Raw genomic sequence first — 24,716 nt, 5'->3', positions numbered from 1 at the left:
GCAAAAGTTCTTAACAAAATACTAGCTAACCGACTCCAAAAACATATCAAAAAGATAATCCACTGAGATCAAGTGGGTTTCATACCAGGGATGGTTTAACATATGGAAGTCAATAAATGCGATACACCACATATACAGAATTAAAAATCACCTGATCATCTCAATAGATGCAGAAAAGCATTTGAAAAAATCAAGCATCCCTTTATGATTAAAATCCTCAGCAAAATTACCATAGAAGGGACATACCTCAATCTAATAAAAGCCATCTATGACAAACCCACAGCCAACACAATGCTGAATGGGAAAAATGTGAAAACATTCCCTCTGAGAACTGGAATAAGACAGGGATGCCCACTCTCACCACTTCTTTTCAACATAGTACTAGAAGTCCCAGCCAGAGCAATCAGACAAGAGAAAGAAATAAAGAGCATCCAAATGGGTAAAGAGGAAATCAAATTCTCACTATTGGCTAATGATATGATTTTATACCTAGAAAATCCTAAAGACTCATCCAAAAAGCTCCTAGAACTCATAAATTAATTCAGCAAAGTTTCAGGATACAAAATTAATGTACACAAATTTGTAGATCTTCTGTACACTGACAATGACCAAGCAGAGAATCAAATCAAAAATTCAATCTCTTTTACAATAGCTGCAAAAAAAAAAATACTTAGGAATATACTTATCCAAGAAGGTGAAAGATCCCTACAAGGAAAACTACAAAACACTGCTGAAAGAAATCATAGACAACATAAACATAGAAACACATCCTATGCTCCTGGATAGGTAGAAACCCTATTGTGCAAATGACCATACTGCCAAAAGCAATCTACAAATTTAATGCAATTCCCATCAAAATACCACCATCATTCTTCATAGAAATAGAAAAAAAAATCCTAAAATTCATATGAAACCAAAAAAGAGCCTGCATAGTCAAAGTAAGACTAAGCAAAAAGAACAAATCTGAAGGCATCACATTACCTGATTTCAAACTATACCATAAGGCCATAGTCACCAAAACAGCATGATACTGGTATAAAAATAGGCATAGACAAATAGAACAGAATAGAGAACCCAGAAATAAACCCAAATACTTACAGCCAGTTGATCTTTGACAAAGCAAACCATAAAGCAAAGCATAAAGTGAGAAAAGAACACCCTATTCAACAAATGGTGCTGGGATCATTGGCGAGCAACGTGTAGGAGAGTGAAACTGGATCCTCATCTTTCACCTTATACAAAAATCAACTCAAAGTGGATCAAACACTTAAATCTAAGACCTGGAACTGTAAAAATTCTAGAAGATAACATCAGAAAAACCCTTCTAGACATTGGCTTAGGCAAGGGTTTCATGACCAAGCACCCAAAAGCAAATGCAATAAAAACAAAGATAAGTAGCTAGGACTTTTAAACAGAAGAGCTTTTGCATGGCAAAAGGAATAGTCAGCAGAGTAAATGGACAACCCCCAGAGTGGGAAAAAATCTTCACAGTCTATCCATTTGACCTGGGACTTAATTAAGCAAAAGAATTTTGCATGGCAAAAGGAACAGTCAGCAGAGTACTTAGACAACCTCAGAGTGGGAGAAAATCTTCACAATATATCCATCTGACAAAAGACTAATTAATATTCAGAATCTACAATGAACTCAAACAAATTAGCAAGAAGAAGAAACAAACAATCTCATCAAAACATGGGCAAAGGACATGCATAGACAATTCTCAAAAGAAGATATACAAATGGCCAAAAAACATGAAAAAATGCTCAATATCACTAATGATTAGGGAAATGCAAATCAAAACCACAGTGCTATACCACCTTACTCCTGTAAGAATGGCCATGTTCAAAAAAACAAAAAATAATAGATGTTGGCATAGATGCAGTGAACAGGGGACACTTCTACACTGCTAGTGGGAATGTAAACTAGTAAAACCACTATGGAAAACAGTGTGGAGATTCCCTAAAGAACTAAAAGTAGAACTTCCATTTGATCCAGCAATCCCACTACTGGGTATCTATCCAGAGGAAAAGAAATCATTATGTAAAAGAGATACTTGCACACAGATGTTTATAGCAACACAATTCACAATTGTAAAAATGTGGAACCAACCCAAATGCCCATCAATCAACGAGTGGATAAAGAAACTGTGGACAAAGAAACTAATAAATAATTTTAGATTTATTATTGAATGCAAGGTTAATGCCTTTTAAAAAGTTATATTTCTATTTAATAGCAAGAAAGAATTGAAAAATAACAGCTTAAAATTACCATTCAAAGTAGTATTTAAAAAATGTTTAGAAATAAATTTAACATAAAATGTGGAAGACATCTCCATTAAAAAGTTTAAAACATAGCTGAGATAAATTAAAACCTAAATAAATGGAAAAATACGCCATGATTATGGATTAGAAAACTTGATGTTGTCAAGGTGTCTTTTCTCCACAAATGGATTTATATATTCATTGCAATCCCAATCAAAATAATAACAGGCTTTTGTTTGTTTTTTAAAGAAATTGATGAACTGATTCTAAAATGTGTATGGAAATGCAAAGAACCTAGGAAAACAAAATTTTTGGAGAATAAAATAAATGGAGGATACATTCTACTGATTTTAAGACTTACTATTAAGCTACATTAATCAAAATAGTATTATGCTTGTATAACAATTAACAGATATATCAATAAAATAAAATACAAATTCTGGAAATAGTTTTACTCATGGCCAAGTGGGTTTTAATGAAAATGTCAAAACAATTAAGGGAGAACAGAATGTATTTTGCATAAATAGTGCTGAAACAACTCAATGTTTATATGGACAAAATATATCTTAACCAATAATATATAACATACAAACATTAATTTGAAAAGGATAACAGGCCTTGATATTGAACCTAAAATTCTGAAGTAGAATATGTGTGCGTATATGTGTATATGTATATACACACACACACACACACACACACACACACAACTCTGTGGAGAGCAAAGGGGTTTTTAGACAGGACACAAAAAACGCAAGCCATAGAAGAAAAGCTGATAAATTGAACTTTACCAAATTTAAAACATCTGCTCATTCTTATGCCGCTCTAAGGAAATGAAAAGGGAAGCTTTAGATTAGGGAAAAATACTTAGAATAGGTATATGTGATGAAGTATTAAATTGGTGCAACTTACTGCAGTTTTTGCCATTAGAAGTAATGTCATTAAAATCACATTGCTTTTACAACCTTATATTTTGTCCGGATTGTATAAAGAGCTCCTATAACTCAATAATAAAAAGAAAACAGACACAATAAAAATAGGTGCATTTCTTTACAGAAATTTCAAAGATGAATATACACAAATGGCCAAGAACATAATGAGATAATACTTCACATTCAATAGAAGGTACAAAATTGGGAAAAAGACTGAAAATATCAAATGTCGGTGATAATGTGGAATAGCTAGAACTTTAATACAATGATGGGGGAGTGAAACACACACAAACACACACACACACACACACACACGTATTAAATGACCAAACATTATCACCCCTGAAAATAAAAATATTTTCCAAGAGAAATGAATATCTTTTTTCCACAAAAGACTTGCAAAGTTCTAAGTTTATCTATAAAAGCCTCAAACTGAAAATAACCCCAACTATCCATCAACAAGAAAATAAATGATCAAGCTGAGGTATATTTATTCAATAGAATACCAAACAATATTTTTTTGGCAAATGAACTGCTAAAAACCACAACATTGAGAACACTCAAAACATAGATCTCAAACAACAGATACTGCATACATCAATTTTTATGGAGCTCAAGAACAGGTAAATATTTATGGTGAGATAAATAATAGAGAATGATCGTTTATGATAGATGGGGTTTACTAGGGAGAGGGAAAAAGGGATATTCTGGGATGATGAAAATAGTCTATGCTTTGATCAAAGTGTTATTTATTGCTTACAGATTTTACCAAAATTATTACATTGAACACTTAAGAACGGTACACTTCACTGATTGCAAATTATTACCCAAAAGTAAAAATGATTCTGGCAATGGCAGAGACACAACAAAAAAAGATAATTTTAGACCAATATCCCTGATGATGTATCTCAAAATAATAAGAGCTATTTATGACAAACCCACAGCCGATATCATACTGAATGGGCAAAACTGGAAGCATTCCCTTTGAAAACTGGCACAAGACAGGGACGCCCTCTCTCACCACTCCTATTCAACATAATGTTGGAAGTTCTGGCCAGGGCAATCAGGCAGGAGAAAGAAATAAGGGGTATTCCATTAGGAAAAGAGGAAGCCAAATTGTCCCTGTTTGCAGATGACATGATTGTATATTTAGAAAACCCCATCGTCTCAGCCCAAAATCTCCTTAAGCTGATAAGCAACTTCAGCAAAGTCTCAGGACACAAAATCAATGTGCAAAAATCACAAGCATTCCTATACACCAATAACAGACAAACAGAGAGCCAAATCATGAGTGAACTCCCATTCACAATTGCTTCAAAGAGAATAAAATACCTAGGAATCCAACTTACAAGGGAGGTGAAGGACCTCTTCAAGGAGAACTACAAACCACTGCTCAATAAAATAAAAGAGGACAGAAGCAAATGGAAGAACATCCCATGCTCATGGATAGGAAGAATCAATATGGTGAAAATGGCCATACTGCCCAAGGTAATTTATAGATTCAATGCCATCCCTATCAAGCTACCAATGACTTTCTCCACAGAATTGGAAAAGATTACTTTAAAGTTCATATGAGATGAAAAAGATCCTGCATTGCCAAGACAATCCTAAGCCAAAAGAACAAAGCTGGAGGCATCACGCTACCTGACTTCAAACTATACTACAAGGCTACAGTAACCAAAACAGTATGGTACTGGTACCAACACAGAGATATAGACCAATGGAACAGAACAGAGGCCTCAGAAATAATACCACACATTTACAACCATCTGATCTTTGACAAACCTGGCAAAAAGAAGAATTGGGGAAAGGATTCCCTATTTAATAAATGGTGCTGGGAAAAAAATGGCTAGCCATATGTAGAAAGCTGAAACTGGATCCCTTCCTAACACCTTATACAGAAATTAATTCAAGATGGATTAAAGTCTTAAATGTCAGACCTAAAACCATAAAAACCCTAGAAGAAAACATAGGCAATACCATTCAGGACATAGGCATGGACAAGGACTTCATGTCTAAAACACCAAAAGCAATGGCAACAAAAGCCAAAATAGACAAATGGAATCTAATTAAACTAAAGAGCTTCTGCACAGCAAAATAATCTACCATCAGAAACAGTCAACCTACAGAATGGGAGAAAATTTTTGTAATCTACCCATCTGACAAAGGGCTAATATCCAGAATTGACAAAGAACTTAAACAAATTTACAAGAAAAAAATCAAACAACCCCATCAAAAAGTGGGTGAAGGATATGAACAGATGCTTTTCAAAAGAAGATATTTATGCAGCCAACCGACACACGAAAAAATGCTCATCATTACTGGCTATCATAGAAATGCAAATCAAAACCACAATGAGATACCATCTCACACCAGTTAGAATGGCAATCATTAAAAAGTCAGGAAACAACAGGTGCTGAAGAGGATGTGGAGAAATAGGAACACTTTTACACTGTTGGTGGGATTGTAAACTAGTTCAACCATTGTGGAAGACAGTGTTGCAATTCCTCAGGGATCTAGAACTAGAAATACCATTTGACCCAGCCATCCCATTACTGGGCATATACCCAAAGGATTATAAATCATGCTACTATAAAGACACATGCACATGTATGTTTAATGCACGTATGTTTAATGCAGCACTATTCACAATAGCAAAGACTTGGAACCAACCCAAATGTCCATCAGTGATAGACTGGATTAAGAAAATATGGCACATGTACACCATGGAATACTATGCAACCATAAAAAAGGATGCGTTCATGTCCTTTGCAGGGATGTGGATGAAGCTGTAAACCATCATTCTTAGCAAACTATCACAAGGACAGAAAACCAAACACCGCATGTTCTCACTCATAAGTGGGAGTTGAACATTGAGAACACTTGGACACAGGTTGGGGGACATCACACACCAGGGCCTGTTGTGGGGTGGGGGGAGCCGGGAGGGATAGCATTAGGAGATATACCTAATGCTAAATGATGAGTTAATGGGTGCAGCACACCAACATGGCACATGTATACATATGTAACAAACCTGCACGTTGTGCACATGTACCCTAGAACTTAAAGTATAATTTAAAAAAAAGAGAAAAAAATGATTCTGGCTAAAGTCTAGAGTGGACAATGAGAAAGGATAACCAAACTCATTATCATACCTTTGTGAACACCTTTATGCTCATAGCTCATTGCTCTCTAAGTCTTTCTGCCTTGATCATTGAGACATTTTGGATTATTAATGTGATATCCAAGATTTCTTGAAGTCTATCTCTCAAATATAAACATTATTAATTAATTGAGGTGTTATAACTAAGGGGAAGTTTTCTCTAAATTTAAGATTTGGGAATATGTAAATAAGATATCAGTTCTCTGGAAGGTGAACCCTCTAAATTTTAGGAAAGGAGTGGGAATATTGGTTGCTTTTTTTTTTTTTTTTTGATATGGAGTCTCACTCTGTCACCAGGCTGGAGTGCAGTGGCGCGATCTCAGCTCACTGCAGCCTCTGCCTCCCAGGTTCAAGTGATTCCCCTGCCTCAGCCTCCCAAGCAGCTGGGACTACAGGCATGTTCCACCACACCTGGCTAATTCTTGTTTTGTTTTGTTTTTTGTGTTTTTGTATTTTAGTAGAGATGGGGTTTTACCATATTGGTCAGGATGGCCTCGATCTTCTGACCTAGTGATCTGCCTGCCTCGGCCTCCCAAACTGCTGGGATTACAGGCTTGGGATTATAGGCATGAACCACACTGTGCCAGGCAATAGTGGTTGCTTTTGGGGGGAGAAATTTTAAAATTAAAGATCAGAGATACAATGTTATATGAGACAGGATAGCTTCATGCTGTGAACACATAAATGCAACCTGATTATATGGATTAAGAAAGCTAAACAATAAATGGGTCAATCAGAAAGTATTAAGATTAAACCAGTAATCCTATAGAAAAGAAACTTGAAGATACAGGTTTTGGCAGCTGCTAGTTCACCACTTTTTTATGGAAAGAGAGCTTTGGCCATCAGCCTTCAAATACACTTAGACATCTGGCAGAACTATCTCCATCCTGAGATGAATAAAACATGCTCTTTGCTTCATGGGTTTAATAATACCTGTCTGCCCTTTGATATATGGAACATTTGTGGAGTGATGATAGAATCATGTACCTTAGTCAGTAAATTTGGTGGCCAGACGTCGGATCACGGAAATTTTACCATAAAAGAATTGTCACTTATGAGAATTTTAGAGATATTAATTAACTACCTTCTTTTTACAACAGTATTATTCTCATTGTTTCATTTGTTTTTATTTTCTAGACTTTTTCAGAAAAAAAGTATTCCTGACATTTATTCTTTTCTTAAATCCTCTATCCTCTTGGACCCTGAAGACATCGTCAGCATTTGGATTTTATTCATGACAGATACATGTCTCTTTAAAAAGTGTGGATTTATCTCCTGAATATTAGTTTCTCAATGATTTATCCACCACATTTTCATAACTTGTGTGAGGGATCAGTACCACCTTCCAGCGGTAGATCTTATTTTTGCCGCTCAATTTTTGCTCTGTTCTCTTTCTAGTAAGGGCTTTATCCTGAATCATTTATTGACATGCGGCCTATAGAGACCTCCTTAAAGAGGTACTACATTATTGTCCCATTGATTTAGGGCCTGGCCACATTTCAAGCTTTAGCCAATGGAATGTGAGGGAATATAGCGTATAGAAACATCTGAGAAGAAAAAGAAAAACTTCAGAAGGCATCAAGTGTTTCTGACAGGTCTGTCTTGCTAGATGTCCCAAATAAGGACCACTTCTTGAAGAGGCTGGAATCTGGTGTGAGAAGACAAGGGGAACAGAGCCACAGAAGTTGATCCACAGCCATGGATATCTGTCTGGAACAATAAATCAATGTCAGTTGTAGCCACTGTCATTTGGGGGGTTGTTTGTTATTAATAAAGCCAACTAATAAAATTCATAACTAGATTAGAAAACAATCAAGATGAAACATTTTAACAAAAAATTTGAATTGCAAATTTGAATGCATCTTAAATGACGTCGAGTAAAAAAGTTTGCCGCTTGAACAGAAATAAAAATTTTAAATTTATTAAAATTCACATTAATAAAAAATAAGAATACTCTGCAATCTCGAGTTACTAAAAAGTATGATTTGTTTGCCTTTTGGTTTTAATAATGTATGATTAAATAAACTAGTAGTCTCATCACTTGATATCACTGCTGAGCATTTGAGGAGACATCTCTCCTACTTCAGCATGACCTTACAAAGTGAAGGCTGCTTTTCTTTGACATGTCATCTAAGTCATGGCCAGGAATAGGAAAGGTATCTTTTTGGGTTCTCCATTGCATACACAAAACATCTCTTCATGTCCTTTGGAGATTATACCACCGGTTGTATTTTTCTCTACTACTCCTCATGCTGTCATCTACAGATCACCTGTTATTCCCCAGAAAATAAAGTCACGCACAGCTCATGTAATCCATACTCATTATCGTTCTTAGTGAGTTAAATAATTGTATTGATGAGTTCTTCAAAACCTTAGTCTCTCTCTGTCTTTTACTCCCTCATATCTAGCAAAATCTGGTTTCACCTTGATTTAGTTTTCTGTTCCCATGGAAACACTCTTGTACATCAATGACTTATTTTCCCCCAGAAATCCAAGTTGTAACCATCTCACTTTCTCAGTATTACTAAATATCTCTCATCTTTTCAGCTCAACTTCTCAGGTAGTACCTCAAAATTGAGATTTCATCCCAAGGAGCTTTAGATTTTATCTTTATGCATGATTCCCTTTCTGTTTTCACTCTCCTTGTTACCCTCTTATATTTGGTGGTTCATATTTATTATCATGAGTTTTTAAGCACTTACAACTCTTGTTTTCTCTTCACTGCTTGAACTCAAGTACATACATTTTCTATGTCTAAACTCTGTACAACTGAACTCAACTGAAAATAGTCATATAACTGTATTGACAGGACTCTATTTAAATTCATCACTGCCTAAAAATAATATTACATGTCCTAAATCGGTTTGCTTTTTTAGAATTTGGTATAGTTATTTCAGAAATTTGCTTTCAATAAATCCATCCCTATATACTATTCTATCTTTCTTAATTTATTGTGCTCAGTATAATGGCTTCCATTGTATTCTTTATTTCCTGACGTTTCTGCCTACAATTTCCACTTCCTAATCTTTGCACTTTCTATTCTTTCATACTATAAGGCTCTTCCCCATTCTGTTCTTATTCTGCGGGTTTCAATTCAAATGTCACCTCCTCAGAAAGCCCTTGGATGGAAATCCTATTCAAAGAAAAGCTCCTTTATTACTCTCAGTTACATTGCCCTGTTGGTTCCTTCATAGCACTAATCACAATAATTACCTCCATTTTTTTCCTTTTATTATACCTTTCTACATCTAAAAATGATAGCCCTCAAGAGGAGGATGTTTTTCTGTTTTGTATTCTGCTATATCCTTAGTGTCTAGTTTAATGCCTGGCAAAGAGCATGTGCACAGGAAATATGTTTTGATTAATGAATGAATGAATACCACATGCAAATCACTTGCTAACACTAATTCAGTTTTTTCTATGTAAAGAGAGCAGGTAAACATACATCATTTCCAAAGTCTTCTTTGGGGTTTTAGTCTCATCTTTAACCCCTTGACTACATACAGATTGTGAATAACTATGCCAACTGATTAGGTGGGTAGTTGAATCAACTGTTAGTTTGAAGTGTCTATTTGGGTTGGTGCTACAGTTTGTCATAGAGATTTCCTGATATGAGGCTACTTTTGATGCTTCCTATAGGTGACTACATCCTCAAAGAGATCTCAGCATCCATAAACAAGAATCATCGGCTGGGCGTGGTGGCTCAAGCCTGTAATCTCAGCACTTTGGGAGGCCGAGGTGGGCAGATCACGAGGTCAGGAGATAGAGACCATCCTAGCTAATACGGCGAAACCCCGTCTCTATTAAAAATACAAAAAATTAGCCGGCCTTGGTGGCGGGTGCCTGTAGTCCTAGGTACTCGGGAGGCCGAGGCAGGAGAATGGCGTGAACCTGGGAGGTGGAGCTTTCAGTGAGCCAAGATCGCGCCACTGCACTCCAGCCTGGGCGACAGAGCAAGACTCCGTCTCAAAAATAAATAAATAAATAAATAAAATAAAAATAAACAAGAATCATCAATTGTCCAAACCTCTCTGCTCACCTTAGTAGAGATATAGTAGCTGTCTGTAATATTAGCTACACACTTTCAAAATCTCTATAGGTTCTAGGTTAGTGTTCACAAGAATTTTACACTTTAAAAAAAGTTACAATAATCAATTCATTCCTGAGAACTCACTTTAAATTTATTAATCTGCCAAAAACATGTGGAAAAATCCACTCTGCTACCTTCTTCATGTTCCCATGTAAGACATGTAGTCACAAAGCAAATAACTTTCTTTACATGTAGGTCATACAAAAGTTATTAAAAATCCTGATAGTTTGGATCTTTTGGTAGAGTTTAATATGTATTTGTTTGTTTTTTTCTATTGATGGGATTACAATCAGACAGCAACTAACATAAGCTGTCACAATTTGCATAAACTTTGATATTTGTAAGCATCATGTGCTTAACCACAATATCTATGCTATCCATAGGTATTGACATAAAGTTTTCTGGTGAAATGTAGGCAATTATAATTGTGGAAATACAGAGGAGAGATCAATTATTTATATTATGTTGGGTAGGCCCAGGTCAGATGTGAATAAGATTCATTATTTTTCTTGTATTCCCACAGGCTCCCTCCAATAAATATCTATTGATTCATTCTCCCAGAGCAACTTTCTCCTGCTGACTGATTAGGCATCTCTAGAGTTGGCATCAAACTTTAGTTCATACGAGTTTTATTTGGTTATTTCCTCAACTATTCACTTTACAAATGCTAAGATTATTGAAACTTTAATCTATTAAGCAGGTCAGTTATGAAATTTGTATGTCGTAATAGAATTATTCACTTTAAGGATTGCAAACTCAAATTCATGTAGGGTCCAAGTAAATTAAATCACTGAATAAAATTTTTGGAATAAACAAAAATTTAAGATAAAGTAAGATGACACAATTGTTACTCAACTCCATCTAATTGTTACTCTTAGAGTAGGTAAGTCTGGCATTAACAAATCGCATGATATTTCTGAAAAGCAATTTGAAGTACTGGCACTGTGTGTGTGTGTGGGGGGGTGTTCTATTTCAACCCAATTTACAAAGAAACAAAAGTCTTCTACAGGCTATGTCCATCACTTAGTCTGTCATTAATGATTTCAGTATTCTTATTTTTATAACATTCAAACAATAAATATTAAAAGAATATTTAAAATGTCATTTCCTTCACAAAATTCAATGTACATAGAACTGCTCCATGTAATAATATGTATTTTGATGCAATATTTTTCAGTGATACTCACTGTTTTTATTAGAACTCTAAAAGCAGTTATGTAGGTGTGTAGATCTCAAAAGACATGGACTTATACAAATAAATTTTTAGCCTTGCACAATATGTAACATTATTTCTCCTTTTGCTTTTAATATGAAGGGTTAAAAATAGAATAAAAGGAAGATGAGTTACTCAAATGAAGAAATTAAGTGGGTGATTGGATTGGACAGTATGAGAGACAAAAGATCCTATGACAGGTGAAATAAGTTGGCTAAACCACATACAAGTGAGAATATTTAAAAAGCCCACAAATATGAAGAAATTACAACTCCAAATAATAAACTTCCTAGAGATAGTGACATAGAAAATTGCCTAGTAAATGATGACTTTTCAATAGGAGAGCAGGTTGGAGGGATATTTTGTTTACTGATTACTCTGTTCCTACTAGACAGTTCCTCTTATCACATTTGATCAGAAAAACAGCAAAAAGAAAACAAAGAAAAGGAAATATATTGCTAGGTATTAAAACAGGACATCTGTGATTTCCCAAAACATGTGTGCGATAGTCTATTTGTTTGTTTACAACATTTTAGGGGTCTATACAGTAGAAAATAAAACAATACTAACCTGGACTATATAACTAAAGGAGATAAATGTAGATAAACAATTAAAATGTGGACTGTGAGCAATTGAAGAGCTTATTACAAATTGGATCTATTTGACCAAAAGTAGTTAAAAGATGTCTTTCAAAGGACATTCTAAATGGATATTACAAATTGAAGACTATTTGACTAATGTTACCTAAGAATTGCCTCTTGCAAGGACATTCATGTTTAAAGAGAGATCAGAGTACTAAATGCAAAGGATAATGCTATAAGTTACACAGGTCAAACATGAGGAGGAATTGATAAGGACAATGATGGAATTTTTCTGTTCTTTCAGAAATTATACTAGATTCATGATTGTGTCTTTTCCCTAATGTCAAGGTCATCTTTCTATCATAAGCTTATTATATCTGGTTATTATGGATGAAAAAATGTAACAGAAGAAGAAGGTATGTGAATACACATACAGAAAAATATTAATATTTCATAGGAATTCATGTGGGTAAAAATTAATTTAGAAAAAAATACTTAAACTAGATGTCTTGTCCAGAAAGAAATGAAAGAGAAATAATTGCCCAGTGGTTAACAGCAGTTTTCTCATTTATATGCTTTTCCTCATTCATAGGTAAAAAGCTAAGCATGAATACTCCTCACTATATTGTATAACCACAAAAAAAATTTCAACTTTTTAATTTTCTGTGTCAACTTAGCTAGGCCATGGTACTCAGATATGTGGTCAAACACAAGGCCGGATGTTGCTGTGAAAGTATTCTTTAAATAAAATTAACTTTTAAATCAGTTAAAACTATCAGTAAAGTAGATTTACCGCCATAATGTGGGTGGGCCTAAATCAATCAGTTGATGGTCTTAGTTAAAAACAGATGGATGTTCCCTAAGTAAGAGCGAATTCTGCCTCTAGACTGTCTTCAGACATGGAAGATAGCTCTTCCCTAGGTCTCCAGCCTGTCAGACTACTCTGCAGGTTTTGGAATTGCAAGCCCACGCATCATGAGGTCTACACCTTAAAATAAATCTCATTTTCACTATCCATACAAATGTTATTGGTTCTTTTTCTCTGAAGAAAAAACTCTGAAGTATATACTATTTAACATTTCCATTATTAAAAAAAAATGCCATGAGTTCCTGCAAAGGGCAATTGGAATTTGAAATGAAACACAGTGTCAGTTACATTAACTCCCCAAACAATAAAATATTCAGGTATAAAACTAATTAAATATGTATAAGATCCACATGAGGAAAGGTAAAAAAAAAGTAATGAAATAAATTAAAGAACAGCTAAATAAATGGAGAGATAGTCCATATTCATGGCTAGAAATATTCAAACTATCCAGATGACATTCCTTCCCAACGTGATACATAGATTCAGTGCAAGCTCAATCAAAATCCCAATAAGATTTTTTTGGATATCAAGAAACTCATTCAAAGCCATAAAAAATGATGAGTTCATGTCCTTTGTAGGGGCATGGATGAAGCTGGAAACCATCATTCTCAGCAAACTATCGCAAGGACAAAAAAACAAACACCGCATGTTCTCACTCACTCATAGGTGGGAATTGAGCAATGAGAACACATGGACACAGGAAGGGGAACATCACATACCGGGGCCTGTTGTGGGGTGGGGGGGAGGGGGGAGGGATAGCATTAGGAGATATACCTAATGTTAAATGAGGAGTTAATGGGTGCAGCACACCAACATGGCACATGTGTGCATATGTAACAAACCTGCACGTTGTGCACATGTACCCTAAAACTTAAAGTATAATAAATAAATAAATAAAAAAGAAAAAAGAAACTCATTCCAAAGATTACACAGAGAGGCAAAAGACCCAGAATAGCTAACACAATATTAAAGGAAAAGAATAAAGTTGGAAGACTGATGCTACCCTATTTCAGGACTTACTATAAAGCTTCAGCAGTCAAGAGAGTGTGGTATTGGTGAAAGAATAGACAAATAGATCAATGGAAGACAATAGAAAGCACAGGATAGCCCACCCAAATATATTTAACCTTTTGTTTCTTTGACAAAGAAGCAAAGTCAATACAATGGAGAGAAGACAGCTTTTTCAACAAATGGTGCTGAAACAATTAGACATTGACATGATAAAAAAATAATAATCCAGACACAAACTTTGCATGATTCACAAAACTTAACTCAAAATAGATTATAGACCTAAACAGAAAATGATAAAATGCCTAAAAGGTAACATATCTTAAAAATCTAGTTTATCTTAGGTTTAGATTTTAAATACAACATCAAAGGAATCATCAATAAAATAATTAATATGTTGGACTTCATTAAAATTAAAACCCTCTGTTCTGTGAAAGAAACTGTCAAGAGAATGAAAAGACAAGCCACAAACTGAGAGAAAATATTTTCAAAAAGAGATGTGATAAAGAACTGTTATCCACAATATAGAAAGAACTCTTAAAACTCAAGAGTAAGAAAATGAACCTGATTAAAAACCTGAGCAAAAGTTCTGAACAGACACCTTACCATAGAAGATAAACATGTGTAAATTGCTCAACATCATATAATATCAGGGAATTGCAAATTAAAACAACAGTAAGATACAACTACTACACATCTGATATAATGGTCAAAATCTAAACCAATACAACAGCAAATGTTGGCAAGGATATGAAACAACAAGGACTCTCATTCATTGCTGATGGGAATGCAAAATGGTACAGCCACCTTGGAAGTCACTTTGGCAGTGTCTTTCAAAACTAGACATATTCTTACCATATAATCCAACAATCTTATTTATTTCTACTTACCCAACTGGGTTGAAAGCTTTACATCTACACAGAAAACTGTACACAGATGTTTACAGCAGCCTTATTCATAATTGCCCAAACTTGAAAGCAATAAAGATGTCCTTCAGTAAGTGAGTGGATAAACTTTGATATATCCATATAATGAATTTTATTTAGTGCTAAAATAAAATGGACTTTCAAGCCATGAAAAAAAATTTGTTTTTCAAGCCATGAAAATAATGGAGCATATTATTAAGTTAAAGAATCCAATCAGAAAAAGCTACATACTCTATGATTCCAACTATATGACACTTGAAAAGGCAACACTGTGGAGACAGTAAAAACATTAGGGAAGTCAGAGCCTGGGGTGACCGGGAGTGAGAAAGAAGCATGAATAATCAGATTACAGAGGATGTTTAGGGCAGTGACACTAATTTGTATTATACTATAATGGTGAATATATGTTCAGTATATATTTGGCAAAACCCATAAAATGTGCAACACCAAGAATGAATCCTAATATGACCTATGTACTGTAGGTGATAATGATATGTACATGTAGTTTCATTGAATGTAAAAAAAGAAATGTACTGCTCTGATGAGGAATGTTGATAGGGAGACTGAGTATGGGGAGAAGGTAGAGTTATATGGGAACTCTCTATTTTCTGTTCAATTTTGCCATAAACCTAAATGTTTTCTAAAAAAAAAAAAGTCTATTAAAAATGTCATGGGTCATTAAAAACTCCACCATGAGACTGCAAGTATCTATTCATTTCTTGCCAGCTAGATTTGAGAGTACAGCCAGCAATGAAAACATGAATTTACATTAAGTCAAAGGATAAAGTATCATTTTAAAACCAGCTGCCATTACTCACATTATTTATTTATAGGCTATTGTATAATTGTAGAATTGTGCTGAATAAAGACAAATATATTCTCTTTATTGAAGAACTTACAATCCAAAGATCAAATGAAAATTTAGAAACAATCTTATTTGCTCAGGAGCATCAAACTAAGCATTCTAATAGAAGAAGTTAATTCCAAAAGACTTCTTTATAGTCTTTTGGTGCTCAGGAACATCAAACTAAGCATTCTAATAGAAGTTAATTCCAAAAGACTTTTTATCCAATATTTATAGTTCTTGCACCTATTTACATATTGAGAAAAAACCATGCTGTCCTCACTTTTGTCTAAGTATTGGCCTGTATGGCTTCTTTTTAATTGGCAAATTATAATGGCTATATATTTAACGAATCTAACAATATTAAACAAATGGCATTCAATTACACTCCAAACACTAAATTGCTTTAATTTGGGAAGAAGAATTCCTGGAGTCTCGCTGAACAGTTATCAGTCATTCAGAATTGCTCGCCTTAATATAAAAAGTTCTGTACTTAAAAAATTCAGAAACAGCAGCATTATACAATTGGAGAGTTCACTTATTTTTCTTCTGGACATTTAAATTTGTCTTATGTGTTCCTATAACTAGTTCTTGATTGCTTTCGTTTCGCTCTTTTTTTTTTTTTTTTTCTTTTCTTTTTTTGTTTGTTTGTTTGTTTTTTCCTGTTTGGGCTAGGTAAGTAGTTTCCCCTAATGTAATTTAAAGCTTAATATAGATTATACTCACTTTCCTCTTGAAGATTTTCTTGTGGCTTTCTCATTACAGAAGACTGTTCCACACTCTGGAGCCATAGAATATTATGAGTACACCGAAACTTTTGGACCAGCACTCTCCCTTACCACTTTCCCTTCTAACAGTACTGAGCCACTTCAAAGTTGCCCCAAAGCACCAGAGTTTTATTACTCTCTGGAGTTGCGCATACTCCTTTTTCCACCTGCAATGTTCTATCCTCCCTCTGCTTGGCTTACTTCCTTGTCAGCTTTGAAAACAGGAGTCTGTGTGTCCCCTTCACCCGGAAACTCATCTTCCGGGCTTCAAAAGGCTTAAACACCCCATCTGCTTCAACCCAGGAGCTTACTCAGATACCATATATATTTTAAATGATGTTTCTGATTCATGTTGCCATACTGTAAATTATTATTTTTAAAAGATGCCCCCTTTGAGTGAGTAGGATTTGTGTCTGACTAGATGCTAAGTTTTATTCATCTTTGTGTTCCCATCTCCGCACACATTGCCTGCCCCATAACCATTGCTTAAGAAATAATGAGTTTAATGAAACGATGCATATTACTCTATCCCTGACAGAGAGTGATGTTTTACCTATAATCTAAAATATAGTTGTCTACTGTTTAAAAATCAAAGTTTATCCTTGAGAATTTAGCATCCTAACCATGCATCCCTCTCCCACCCGACCCCTGCCCTCAGCCCCGGATCCCTTTTAACTTAAATAAGAAGCTGTTTTATTCTGGCAGTTTTTGCCAGAAGAAAAGTGAGTCTAACAGAAGTCAATCTAACAGAAATGCATTAATGCAGGCTGGATTTGCCTAGACATCAATAAACTCGAAAGGCTCCCTGTGGGCCACTTGTAGTGTCAATAAACGTTCGTAATTACTTGCTCCTTGGAGCATTTTTATACCCGACCCCGTTCGCTGTGCTGCAAAGAGGAAATTCAAGATCTCGGAAGTTCTTAACTTCTTAAACTCTAGAGGAAGTATGGTAAACACTGGCGGGAACCTTGGGTTTTTAAGCAAAGATGCTGGCTGTTTTCGTTGCTATTTTAAGCTGTCAGGCGACAAGCAACTCAGAATTCCCCTTCTTACTTCCGGCGGGAGGGAAGATTGGAATTGGGCCTCATCATTTCTGAGCGTGAAAAACCGCTGAAGCTACTGTTCAACCTGAAGGAACACGGAATTCAACTGGAGAGAAACCCTGGCGACCAGGGAGCTGGGGACCGGCGCATATAGATGAGGGAAATCCTGGCTTCCAGACACTGTCTCATGCTAGAGGTGCCTCCCGACCTACCAGCCAACAGTAAAGACCGGAACCAAGGCGTGGTACTAGCAGAGTAGCAAGCATCTCTCCCAATGAGGGCAACGACTGGAGGATGGTGGAGAGGTACTCAGAGTGAACAATCGAACACAGAACTCTTGAAAAGTGTCCCTGCCACCCAATACAAGTACGAAAAATGGTGGGACGGAGGAGAGGTGACAATCAGAGGCTATATATATAATTGAGACTTTTAGAGAGGACTTTGCTCTTCCTTCCTCCCCTCCCTTTTCTTTCCTTTCTTTCTTTCCTTCCTTCCTTGGTATCCGAATGTGTGTGGGTGTACTTGCGTTTAAAAGAGAGGTCCATGGTAGCTGCTTTTTTTTCAGAACTCTGTTTCTCCGCAATGAAGTTTAAGTGGGATTGGAGTTTCCTTGACTTCTGCGTGAGGAGTTTCCAAATGGCAATGAAAGGGAGGCGCATAAATATCCATAAAGTTCCTAATGACACCTCTATCATCACTTGTTTCCTGCAGAATCCTGAGCCAGGGTCGTCGTCCACCACCCATGCAGAGTGGGCCCATCGGCTAACAGGTTCATGTGTGTATTTGCACTTTCCAGATTGAGTAATAAAAGTCTTCTTCCTTCCACCGCCGTCCCCACCCCCGCACCCCGTTTCACTCCACCTTGGAGGGCGTGTTTTTGCGTGTGAGGGTGTGTGTTTAGCAAAAGCGATTGAAAGAAGGTACTCTTCTTGCAATCCACCCCTAGCTCTACCTGAAGCATTCCTCTGGCGGGACGCTTTTGTAATCTGTCCCCAGGCGAGGTGCCCTCTCACCTAGATGCGGATAGACTATCTTGGAGCTCCCAGGTCCAGAGAGCTGATGCTTTGATGTCCCAGGAGAGTGTGTGTGATTCTGCGTGTACGTGTGTGTGCATATGTATGTATGTGTGTATGTATGTATATGTGTATGTGCGCGAGCTCGCAGGCGCGTAGCACTGTGAGCTTCCTCTCCCGGCACAGAGCAGGCAGAGCCGGGGACGTTACTCTCCAAGCAGCCTCCGCCCCCTCAGCCTGGTGATTGGCTTTGCGCAGCGTTTATCTCCTAGCAAGAGGGAAGGGCCAGTGACGCCCCCGAACCCAGCTGCAGAAGCTGCCGCCACCTCCAATGCACAAGGTGTCTCATCTGAAAAGAAACCTGAGCCCCAGGGAGGCGGCGCGGAGCGACCCTGGCAGAGCTGGCGCAAACAGGGCGAGAGGTCGCTGGGCAGCGTTCGAGGACCAGAGGGAGCTCGGCCACAGAAGACCCCAGTGATCTGATCCCGGGATCCCGGCTCCAAGCTCTCCTCGCATTTTACAGATTTCACCCCCGCGACTATCTCCCCAAAACGGAGCCTTTATATCAAGAGAAGGTGCGGGAGCTGGGGCAACCAGGACTTTCTCGGGCACCCAAGATGCGCTCCATTAGGAAGAGGTGGACGATCTGCACAATAAGTCTGCTCCTGATCTTTTATAAGACAAAAGAAATAGCAAGAACTGAGGAGCACCAGGAGACGCAACTCATCGGGTAAATGCAAAGCTTCATTTCAGGATATGACAAAAAGTCAAGCCATAAATGAAATGTGAATATAGAGGGTAGAGTGATGGTTAGGATAGCATGTGTGTTTGTTTGAGCTTGCGCGTGGTTAGTGTCATGAATTAAATAACAAAGGCTGTTGTTGAGATGTGCGTGCTTCTCTAAGCTGTTCCCAGTATGAGTTCAACTTGCTCTGTGTGGTTGTGGTGACAGTTGTGTTGGCCCTGGGTGCTCTCTCGCCAAAGGAGAAGTCACTGCAGAAGTGTCAACAAAGAACGTGTGTCCTTGTCCTTTTAATCTGTGGGCAGAACTCAAGAGAAATGTCTTTATTCACCAAACGGTTGCCTGTTTTCAATGTCCTATCACCTAAGGAGATACTGGAGATAGATGGTTTCTCGAAGGGCTGAAGTTAAAGCTTAGAAAGCAGGAAATAGGTATACTCTGTTTCTCTACTTTTTTTTTTTCTATTTGACGTTGGATAGATTAATGTGTTATAATTTGAATTAGAAACTCCAGTACCACTAAGGATACTTCCTTATTTGTTCTTCTACGGCTAAAACGCATGGGCGTCATGGTTACAGTTTTAGAAAGAAACTGGGTACTGTAGCTTCACACAGACTATATTTCTGCTATTTTTTTTAGTTTGTCTAGATGAGTTCAGACTCTCCCCCGCCCCACTAAGTTCTCTAAATATCACACTTCCTTCCACCCGCTGGCCTCTGTGTCTTTGAAGTTTACCCAGGAGGTGGTGCAACTTTGTGTTGCTGACATAGCTTGGAAGGCTTTTTCTGAGGATGTGAACCTGATTGTCAACTCTATTCAAAGTCCTGTTTCGGAAATCCTCCCTGTTCCGGTTTGGAGGCGTCCTCTATCAGAAACTACACACCAGCAGAGATGCCTGCCCAGTTTATATTTTTCTCTGACATTGATTAAAACAAAGAAAACAGCCCTTGCGTGTGTGTGTATGTGTGTGTGAGAGAGAGAGAGATGGGACTGCTAACACACACACATGCTCTTAAACTTCCTGCACTCCATTTCTTAATATTCCTGCTCCCTAGGTAATAAGCATTTATTTAAGCGAGCAAGATGCAGGTTGATCCTTACAGAAGGACTTGCTATTCTGTAGAAAACCAGGAAAACAGTAGCACAGTCAAAGCGGACTGGAAGAGAATGAAAAAGCTAGCAAGGAATGGGCTGGAATGGTCGTCATGCATCAACGAATCTATACATGGTCTATTCTGAGGGGGTAAAAAAGACCGGTATGAGGTCGTTTACACAAGACTGGGTGGCTTGAAAATCCAATCTAGCTCAGTTGTTAGAAAAGCAGGACTTTGGGCAGGGGCGTGGGCATCCCTTGCAGACCTGTGCTTGCCAGGCAGACAAAGGGGTCTTTAGAAAGGTGATGAATGGGCGCATGGGGCTCCGATGAGAGGCAGAGGCTAGAGCTTGAGGGTCGAGGCTCTTTGTTCCCTCCCGGGCCGTGGGCTAGGAGGATAAGCCTGATCCCAGACAAAGCGGCCAAGGCTCACTAGGACTCCGAGGGTTCGGGCCCTTGGCTGGGACCCTGGAGAGCAGGAGTGGGCGGAGCGAGTGAGAAGAGGGTCGCCAGATACTGCCGAGGTGTCCATCTCCGAGCCTCCCTAAACCGTGGCCAGGAAAAGGAGCGCACCTCGAGTCCCTGCGGGGAAGCGGAGCCGGGACACTCCGCATTGCACGGGTGTCATTTCTCCTGTGGCCCTTTCCTGGACGTTGCCGGCTGGTGGGCGCAGCCCTAGGCGTTAAGGAAGAGGAGGCGGGCACTGGCGCGGCGGTTGAGCTAGTCGGGCTGGGCTTTTGCCCGCATCCTTTTCAAGCTGAAGCAGTTTCCTCCCAGCTTGACTGAGAAGGCGTTGGGGCAGGCGCTTGAGTAAACCAAACAGGAAGAGAGGCGCGCACCGGGGTTATCCCCTGCTGCCAGAGCGCCGGCGGCGAGGGGGAAAGAATGAGTGAGAAGATAGGGGGAAACCTTTATTGCAGGACTCAGGCTCTTTTGGTCCCTCCCCTCCTTCCACCCCCACCCCACCCCCACCCCCCACCCAAAGTCACTTTCAAAGCTCAGTCGGCAACTGGCTCCTCCTTCTTAATCAAAACCCGCAATTACAGTGGGGCAAGGCAGAGGGCTGGCCGCGAACGTCGCGCTTACACCCGTGCCCTGTAGCGTCCTGACTGCCTTGGTCTCCTGAGAGACCAAGACTGTGCAAGGAGTTGGAGCTGCCAGGAACAATGCGAGGGCAGCTAGGCTCCCTGAGCACTTTCCTTTTTCTCCAGGATGAAAGGTTCGTGGAAAAGCTTGTGACCCGAGCTCATTATTTCGTTTCAACTCCCAAACAGCGCTTCTGGTGGAGGAGTTGACTCATAAAACCATCAAATCATCTCATTGACTGTCTTTCTACCCAAGCCACGTGGAGAGGCCAGTTTTGAGTTTTGAGTAAACTGGAATGGAGGTTCGGCTCCAGATCCCGGTCCAGTATTCAAGTGAGGTAACCAAGGCAGTCTCTGGCCTTTGGGGGGCACTGCGAGCCTTGTGGCTTGGCAGCAGTTTCAAAGAAGGGCCTTCCATAGTCCTTGAATCTTGCATCACTACCCCAGATTCATATTTAGCTTTTCTGCTACCAATTTTGCAATACAAGGCAGTTCCTTTATCCCTTCGACCCTTCCCCCCCGCAAATGGGGGTCCCATCTATAGTTACTCTTACAGTATGCCACAATACTGAGCAGTCATACCACGCAGATGGAAAAATAGAAAACCAGCACAACCTTCTCACCAACCATCCACATTCTCATATCTCCAAAGGAATACCTGCGACATGTTTTTTTAAATACATAAGGAATTGTTCCAGCATAGGTCAAGTAATGATTATTGAACATCTAAAATTCATATTTCCTTCCATAAAAGCCTATTAGTTAATAAAGTTTAAGTTGAAGAGCAGTGAAGGCATTAAGTGGTGTGTTCTTGACTAACTTTACTTTCTTAGTAGACCTCACAGTTGGCTTATGACTTAATTAGCTCTTTGTGCACTTTTGGGTATAACTGGAAATGTGTTAATGTAAGGCTCCCACAAGTAAAATATGTAAGCATCCTCATTTAATGAGATAATATATTTGAAAGTGTAACATAAACTTTAATGTCATATAAATATTTGTTTTGTTAGTCCTTAAATCTTGCTACACACTATTTTTCTGGTTGACTACAAATGAGACTAACTTACTTTTCTTATTATCCAAAGATCTCTCTTATAATTTGACTATGTACTTTAGGTTGTATTACTAAATAATCAACAATATTAGTTCTAAAACCTATGATAAAATTGAAAGTGGAAATAAATATTTTTACTTAGAGTATTACCATTGACAGCAAAGTTAGTCCCAGTTTGTTCTAGGATGAAACACAACCTCGTGAGTGCAGAAATCTAGAATTTGCACTTTACTTCACATTTCACATTTCACAATTCTACTAAAACTCATAAATTAAGGTAGAAACTATCATCTTTATTTTTAGTTGTTTGACACTTAGGTAATGAAAATACAAAATGGCCTGCTGTGTGTATTCAGGCTTAGTTTCATGCAAGTTCTTTATTTAAATTTTTATATTAAAGAGGAAGTTTAACCTAGTTAAAAGGGAACAAATACATTCAAAAGCCAAGTCATGAAGAGTTTCAGTAGGGTGGAATACGGGGCTTTTGAGACCTAATACCATGAAGTGAAATTAATCATATGTCTTACGTACTGCAAAACTAATGAAGTAAATTGTGGTGAAGCCTGGAAATATTTGTAGACACTAGGTTACCTAAAAAATGATTAATTCCTGCCACTGGTATCACATAGATGACCATCTTAGTGAATTTTTCTTTGATCCAAATAAGCAGGGATCCTTTGTATTATATTGATTTATGTGGAGTGATTTCGTTGATGTGTTTCGCTATTTTCCTTTTAAAAGTACATATTGAATCTTCTTGTAGATGATCCTATGCAATAAATGTTTTCAGTGCAGCTGTTCAAAAGTCATGTCTGATCTGGAATGAGAGACAAGTAGGGGGGTGGCAACATCCTTCAAGCTTCGCATTCATGGGAAGGAAGAGCCTTTTCTGAGACAGAATGCTACCAAGGTCATGAGTGAAACATCCCATGGGACCCATTTAACTTTATACAGAGAAATTTACTCTAGAGCTTCAGATTGTACTAAGTTTGACCTTCTCCCACACTGACTATAAAAAGTGTGACTAGTTGTAGATATTTTCATTCAAAATTCTTTCCAGTGATGAAAGTCTGAAATTTGGCTTATCACCAGCTCAATGAAAGCAATTCAAACAGCGGAGTAAAATGGTAGCATTTTATTCATAGAACACTGATTTAAACTTTTTAAATCTTGGATATTCTGAAAAGGCTTGGCACAACTGAAAACATCATATCAAACATTCTGCCATGTAAAAATGTATCTGTATTTCTAGGTCAATGAAGCAATCATCTATAGATTATTTATGTAGTTAATTATTTAGTTTTTAGAGACAGGGACTTGTGATGTTACCCAGGCTGGTCTCTAACTCCTAGGATCAAGTAATCCCCCCACCTCAGCCTCCTGAGTAGGCACTGCCAACCATACCCAGCTCTTCCACACATCTTAAAGAGTGCAAGCCCATGCATATTTTTATTTCTCCTATGAAAGTTTATTGGTGGTGAAAATAATTATTATAATGATATCAATCTGTGGTTAGAAAAAGATGACACTGATACATCAATTAATAAGGTGATGATTAGAAATATACCTTATCCACAGAAATAGTGATAGTTTGCACCTGAAATCATGTAGTCATATCTCCCAAAGTGTGAACGTTAGCTTCTGTGTATAACCACATTTTTATTCATAAGTAGCTATTATCATTATGAATATAATATAAAAATTGACTTCTGGGCCGATGGTCAGTAAAGCACACCCCGTGTTTTCTGGCATCCTAAATGCTCCCTGTAAGGCAATCATTATTTGCCATGCATAGGCATGCAAACGTATCATTTTCATCAGTAGGATAGTTTAAGATATTAATTTTTATAGAATTATGAATTTCACAGGGAGTAGCAGCCTATGATGATGCTTTGAGCTGCTTCAGATTTAAGCTAACATGTTTAAAAAAGAATGCAAACCAAAATACCAAACTATAAGGCTTCAATTACAGAATTCATCGAATAGCTGTTACACAGGCAATGTTTCCATTGATACTAGGAGAGGATTGCCTG

The 24,716-nt window shown here is 37.7% G+C and overlaps 1 protein-coding gene and 1 long non-coding RNA gene across 6 annotated transcripts in view, besides 5 other annotated features; one reads left to right on the top strand and one right to left on the bottom strand.

The window, feature by feature from the left end:
* The window catches only part of LOC107986437 (uncharacterized), a 41,126-nt gene extending 22,252 nt beyond the window's left edge, over positions 1 to 18,874 (bottom strand). The window contains exons 1-2 of one of the 2 annotated variants that reach the window (XR_001742826.3): positions 16,613 to 18,874; positions 2,711 to 8,066 (exon numbers count right to left, since the gene is read on the bottom strand). This is a non-coding gene — a long non-coding RNA (uncharacterized LOC107986437). Of the gene's footprint in view, positions 1 to 2,710; positions 8,067 to 16,612 lie in introns of those variants that run through there. The other variant, XR_001742825.3, reaches the window with a different exon arrangement.
* Positions 17,598 to 17,837: an enhancer, noted in NCBI's record as "active region_22852". NCBI's record gives its function as "activates an Ori minimal core promoter by ATAC-STARR-seq in GM12878 lymphoblastoid cells {active_cell/tissue: GM12878}" and the evidence as "EXISTENCE:reporter gene assay evidence [ECO:0000049][PMID:35858748]".
* Positions 18,618 to 18,857: an enhancer, noted in NCBI's record as "active region_22851". NCBI's record gives its function as "activates an Ori minimal core promoter by ATAC-STARR-seq in GM12878 lymphoblastoid cells {active_cell/tissue: GM12878}" and the evidence as "EXISTENCE:reporter gene assay evidence [ECO:0000049][PMID:35858748]".
* Positions 19,000 to 24,716, top strand: part of ST8SIA4 (ST8 alpha-N-acetyl-neuraminide alpha-2,8-sialyltransferase 4) — a 96,350-nt gene continuing 90,633 nt past the window's right edge. For all 4 annotated transcript variants that reach the window (XM_011543630.3, NM_005668.6, XM_005272078.4 and 1 more), the window contains exon 1: positions 19,000 to 19,439. In XM_011543630.3, the coding sequence (XP_011541932.1) occupies positions 19,327 to 19,439 (113 nt within the window). In that variant the 5' untranslated portion in view covers positions 19,000 to 19,326. The remainder of the gene's footprint in view (positions 19,440 to 24,716) is intronic.
* Positions 19,343 to 19,912: an enhancer, noted in NCBI's record as "OCT4-NANOG hESC enhancer chr5:100238074-100238643 (GRCh37/hg19 assembly coordinates)". NCBI's record gives its function as "activates a minimal SCP1, AML or CMV promoter by ChIP-STARR-seq in primed H9 embryonic stem cells {active_cell/tissue: H9 hESC(primed)}" and the evidence as "EXISTENCE:reporter gene assay evidence [ECO:0000049][PMID:30033119]".
* Positions 21,050 to 21,551: an enhancer, noted in NCBI's record as "H3K4me1 hESC enhancer chr5:100236435-100236936 (GRCh37/hg19 assembly coordinates)". NCBI's record gives its function as "activates a minimal SCP1, AML or CMV promoter by ChIP-STARR-seq in primed H9 embryonic stem cells {active_cell/tissue: H9 hESC(primed)}" and the evidence as "EXISTENCE:reporter gene assay evidence [ECO:0000049][PMID:30033119]".
* Positions 21,658 to 21,877: an enhancer, noted in NCBI's record as "active region_22850". NCBI's record gives its function as "activates an Ori minimal core promoter by ATAC-STARR-seq in GM12878 lymphoblastoid cells {active_cell/tissue: GM12878}" and the evidence as "EXISTENCE:reporter gene assay evidence [ECO:0000049][PMID:35858748]".

Source organism: Homo sapiens, chromosome 5 (genome assembly GCF_000001405.40).
Source record: "Homo sapiens chromosome 5, GRCh38.p14 Primary Assembly".
Lineage (NCBI taxonomy): Eukaryota > Metazoa > Chordata > Mammalia > Primates > Hominidae > Homo > Homo sapiens.
Note: the sequence above shows the minus strand (reverse complement) of the source record. Positions and strands in the feature narration are given on the sequence as shown.